At 34.4% G+C, this 5,944-nt stretch overlaps 1 non-coding gene across 1 annotated transcript; it reads left to right on the top strand.

Annotated features, from left to right (window-relative positions):
* The first annotated feature begins 288 nt into the window (after nucleotides 1–288).
* On the top strand, nucleotides 289–351 carry MIR1255B1 (microRNA 1255b-1). The gene has a single exon (NR_031701.1). It is a non-coding gene; the product is annotated as a microRNA 1255b-1 (primary transcript).
* Nucleotides 352–5,944: the final 5,593 nt, after the last annotated feature.

Genomic DNA, 5,944 nt, shown 5'->3' with positions numbered 1-5,944 from the left:
TCTGGGCAAAGTAGGTTGAAAAATCTTCTGCAAAGGTTTCACCATTCTATATGAAATTAGGAACATTTGTAATTTATGGGAGGAGGTCAAATTATCATAGTTACCAGGAGTTTGGAAGAAGGGGAGTCCAACACTCATAGATAACTTTGAGATATTCAATACTTCAGTGGAGAAAATAACTGAAGATGTGGTAGAAATGGCAAAAGAATTAGAATAAGAGGGCCCTGAGGATGTGACTGAACTGCTGCAATCTCATGATGAAACTTTAAGGGATGAGAAGTTGTTTCTTACGGATGAGCAAAGAAAGTGGTTTCTTAAAATGGAATCTACTCTTTGTGAAGATGCTGTGAACATTGTTGAAATGACAACAAAGAATTTAGAATATTACACAAACTTAGCTGATAAAGCAGCAACAGGGTTTGAGAGGGCTGACTCCCGTTTAGAAAGAAGTTCTACTCTGGGTCAAATGCTGTCAAATAGCATTGTGTGCTACAGAGAAATATTTTGCAAAAGTGTCCATTGATGTGGCAAGCTTCACTGTTATTTTACTTTAAGAAATTGCTACAGCCACATCAACCTTCAGCAACCACCACCATGATCAGTCAGCAGCCATCAACACTGAGGCAAGATTGTCCATCAGCAAAAAGATTGCTACTTACTGAAGGCTCATATGGTCATTAGAGATTTATAGCAACACAGTATTTTTAACTAAGCTATGTGCATTTTTAGACATGATGCTATTGCACAATTAATAAGACTGCAGTATATAAACTAACCTGTATATGCACTGGGAAACTGACAAAAAATTGTGTGACTTCCTTTTTACTGTGATATTCCCTTGTTTTGTGTTGGTCTAAAACCAAGCCTGAAATATCTTCAAGGTATGCTTGTTTATCAAAGTCACCTACCTATCTGCTTGAAATAGAGAAGATATTTCAATTGAAACAACATATTAAAGCCCAAGTGCATCCCTAAATCTCAGAAGAAAACTACAGCCTGTTTGTAAATTGGGTAGCCTATTTTTCTCCTGCAGTAATAAATCCGTGTCTCTGTCATGGTTTCTATAATAAGGTTTCAACCTGAACTCCTTTTTGAAGAATTGTCACCTAGGAAACAAATTTTAAATTATTTGCAAATGGAAAATCTACCAAAAAGGACTTACAATTTTGAATTTCATACATCTTCAAATTCATAATCTCAAAAGAGTATTCTTTCACTGACATGGCAAAAATTAATTGGATGAAGTGATACTTAAGTTTTTCATTTTTCTGAAAAATGCTCACAGAAAGCACTAATAAAAGAGTGTTTTAAATTAACTAATTTTCTTCAAAATTTTCTCATTACTTGTATCAATTCCAATGTCATTTGAAGATGGAATTTTTACAGCCCAATTGGCAAAATTAGCAACATTTTAGGAATATGGCAAGATTATCGTGTCTTTTGACATGTAATATAATGGCCATTATTTCTTTAGGAAAGAATTTAGCAAAAGTTAAACAAAGCATAAGAACACAATTCTTTCCAAAATCAAGCAGCATAATTCTAAAAGGAAGTAAGGGGAAAAACAATAAAAAAAATTATTGAGATTGCATGTCACTTAGAAAATATATAGGAAATTAATATTGAACTAGAAACTAATGTGTACTAATGTCTATTTATGCAATATATACTTCATATGCTTATATAAAATCACTTAGGTCCTACTATTACTAGTTTGTGAAAGTTGATAACGTTTTCCCTGATGATTTTGTCAACCGGTATTTTTCTTCACTCTACTGGATGACTGTCTTAAGTTATTCATCACTTAGCATTTTTCAAAAGTATTAAATAACAATGATATTAATACTAATAGTACCATTCAAAAAGGTCATGATTATCTCTGCTCTTTTTTACTTTTTTTAAAATGGGTATCATCTACAACAGTGGAAGGCCATATCCAGGCATGCATTCTAGAACAGATTCCATTTGTGAGGACACAAGTAAACTGCAAGACCAATCTAGATATTATTTTTAACAGTAAAATGATTAATTGACAATTATTGCAATCACACTACAGAATAAACCACATTCAGTTTAGGAAATAACTAACTTTAATATGTCTATGTTAAACAGATTATAAAACAATACACCAATTGAGTTAAAAAAAAAAACCTTTTTTTCTCTGCTAAGGAGTTGATAAAACCCATAGCCATGAGTGACTAAGCAATTGTTTCTGTTCTGGGTCTATGCACTTTCTTGTTATTGTCTTTCTTTTGTTCATGTGTTTGTTCTCTGTTTGTCTTCAGTTCTAATGATTGTCCCTGTGTCAGGCTATGATTGTCCCTGTGTCAGGCTCATACAGCTTGGTCTCCTATAATTTCTTCTGTTGGTAAAATAAAGTACATATTTTCATCAAATACTTCTTTTTAACCTTTAACTATTTCTATTTCTATTTCTATTTCTATTTGCTGTTTGCACAATCTGTGTGAATGCTGGAAGTGTAGCTCTTTTCCAAATCCTTAAAAGTTCTGGGAATGTCTGCCTCTGAAATGCCTTCTTCACTGTGGGGATGGATGTTTCAAGAATTCTTGTGTTTCAGAGGGGGAAGGAAATTGTTGAGTGTATTCCCACTGTTCCTTTTCCATAATCCACTATGATTTTAACTAAATTAATTTATTCTCTCACCAAATATTTACTGAACATTCCTGTATATGAGACACTGCATCTGATTCTAAAAATACAGCAATAAGTTATACATAAATCTTTGCCTTCATGAAGCTTAACTTCTAGTGGTGAAGATAGACAATAATAGTAATTAAATAAGTAAAATATTTAATTTTACTTATTAAATATAATAAGCAGCAGAGAATGATATAACAGCAGAGAATGATGAGTGCTATAGGAAAAGGTAGGGAAAGTCATTGAGTAGGCTCAGGGTGGAAATTGTTGCAAATGTTAACCAGGTGGTAAGGGCAATGCCCCAATCTTGCAGAAGCAGACAAGTTTGTTTGTTTGTTTTCATTGCTAATTACTGCCCTGAATGTTTTCTCCATATGCTTCATGTATTAAGCAATAAGCAATATGTTCCTCCCTGACTTGAGGGAGGGAAAACAGAAAAACAGGGCTCTTGGCTCCTTTTATATCCTAATATATTCTATATTTAGAGTATGTTTACTACAGTGAAAAATTGCTCAAATTGAATCTACCTGCATCAAAATCATCTGGGATATTGGTTCAAATTCATTATGTATATCTCAGCTGCATTCCAAACCTATAAATCAGGATCTCTGGGAGGTGGGCTCATGGTGTCCATATAATGAAGCACCTTACCAGGTGATTCTTACGCATGCTATTTAAAATGAGGTAAATGGCTTCAATAGAATGCTAGGAAGAAGCAAGAAGGGCCCTGCCCTGGCCCTGCACTTTCAGGTGTCTTGCCCTGCTGGGCAAGAACTCAGGCAGCTGAGTTCTCTGGGAAACAATCTCTGAGACAGAGCTTAGTGTGCAGAAGGTTTATTAGGGAGAGCCCTTATGATAAATAACTGTGTAAGAAAGGGAAGGAAAGCAAGTTTGGATAGAAGGGAATTCAGGTTCCATGACGGCCTTGGCCCACCACAAAGGAAGCACTGGAGCTTAAATCAGTGTTGCTCCACATAGGGACAAAATTAGCAAGAATTTACATGCCCACCTATATCAGTCATTGGATGTGGACTGCCAAGGAAGAATGAAATCTTGGGCTAGGTGGCTCTCTCTCGCTGAGGCAATTCCTGCAAGTGCTCAAGACCACACTCCAGGTACCCAAGACCCTGGAATTCCCTGCTTAAATAACTCTCAAACCCACATACAAGGCCTGTGTTGGCCTGTTCCCTAAAGCTAACAGCACCACCAGTGGATGCATTCCAAGCCCAGAGGAGTTGTCAAGGTGCAGCTGTTTGTAGATACAGACAGAGCTCACAAGTGCAACCTAACATTGCTACATGCTTATGTTCAAGGCCACTCACACAGCTGAAGCGGGATGGAAAGAGCATTGAACAGGCTGCCAGCCCAGGAGTCCACAACTTCTCTATTCAAATATGGACTTTCAGGTTGTCATGTAGAGTTAAATAACAAGGAAGGGTGCCAGAACATATTTTATTGGACAGTTTACTAACTTGACTTATAATTTTGATTATTCACACACATAGCTTATGGCTCCCGCTTGTACTTGTTTCTAGGCCATGCAAATATTTTCAGTGCTGCACAATAGCATTTCCTATGATGAGAGGAAAATAAAATATTTGGAATTCTTTCTTTTATTTGCACCCTTTAAGTTATTGCTGTTTAGGAAAGTAAGGAACTATCGTAATGGATTATTTAATTTGAAGGAGTAATCTATTAAGTGGAACCATTATAGTAGACTTCTGGCTTTGCCTACTAAAGCAAAGAGATGTTTGTCTTCTCAATATTAATTACAATGATTTAATTTACATTATGAGCTTTACTGTCTGGTAGATTGGAGAATTGAGAGAATCCCATTAGTACGTATTTCCAGGTACTTTCTAAGTAATTGTCCACAGAAGCTCCCCTAAAATGTTGGCTTAGTATAATATTGTAGGGGTCACATTTATGTTGAAATGAGAAGAGTAGAAACAGCAAGCATATATTTCCCGGTCGATGCCTAAGATTTGGGGTTGTAAAGACAATGCTGCCTCTGCAGCGGGATGCTCTCTTGAAGAAGGGTGACCTCTTTTTATTTCTTAATGATGATGATTTGAAGTTTGTTTACTTAAACCTCAATTTTTTGGATAAACCTTGTCACTTTTTGGACATTTAAAAACACTACATCAACCAAATACAGAAAAGGATAAAAAAAAATTTAAATTCCCTAAAACCAATTCTATTGCCCAGTCTATTCACAATTAATATTTTAGTGACTGCTCTTGCAAACAAGAATACACAAGTAAAAATATAAAAATACATTCATTTAGAAAAGTAAGATGGTACTATATATATTCTTGTGATCTTTTCTTTGCTCAAAATGTTATAGATATCTTTTCATGTAGATGCATATAAACATACATTATTATTTTTAACCACCACTTAGTATTCCATTATGTAGCTATAGCTGTAGCTTGTTGTGATCATTTTCCAAATACTTTAGAAAATATATTTTGTCTGATCCCAGGTAACGTTTTTTATCAATTTCAAGTTAACTGCAAAGAAGGGAATAAAATAGCTAAAATTTGGTTTTCAAAGTGTCTTAATTGGTAAGATGCTAGATATTTTTAACATATTTTATTTACTTATACATGCTTTAATATGAGAATTCAGAAATTGATTTTTATTTATAGGCTGGTAGTTTTTATATTCATTTTTAGAATTACTCTACTGACTTGAAAATGTGAATCGTTTTTTTTTTAAGTGCCAAACTTACTTCTGAGCATAAATCTTAGTCTAAAAGGCATTGCTGCTAACTCATCATATTGAATTCTAAAATGAAGAAGCCACTTAAACTTAAATAAACTGAGTAATTTTTTAGTGCACAGATATTGGTGCTTTATGTTCATAGTGAAAAAGAAAACAGGTTCTCATAATCAGAGCTTTTGAAGCCATGCTCCACCATTAGCTCAGAGTCAAGAAAGTAACTCATTATCTAAATCACTTCTTGGGAAAACATAAGAGCAAGGAAATGCCTAGATTCTGTAAAAATCAGCAAATTACAGTAACTTGTTTGACTTGTAAGTTATTTTTGACTTTTTTCCCTCGTAACCCATTTTTTCTTGATTATAAAAATAGTAACCTTACTGAAAAAAAGTTAGTACAAGATCACATTCATCAAAATTTTTAAAACATACCTGCATAATTGTACAGCTTTAAATACCTCTTGTATTAGGTTGGTGCAAAAGTAATTGCAGTTCTTGCCATTAAATGGTTGTTTTAGCCAATTCATTTATTTCAAATAGAAGACTGTGTGAATGACACTCCA

Source organism: Homo sapiens, chromosome 4, assembly GCF_000001405.40.
Source record: "Homo sapiens chromosome 4, GRCh38.p14 Primary Assembly".
NCBI classification, from domain to species: domain Eukaryota; kingdom Metazoa; phylum Chordata; class Mammalia; order Primates; family Hominidae; genus Homo; species Homo sapiens.
The sequence above is the reverse complement of the archived record's forward strand: the minus strand, read 5'-3'. Positions and strand labels throughout refer to the sequence as shown.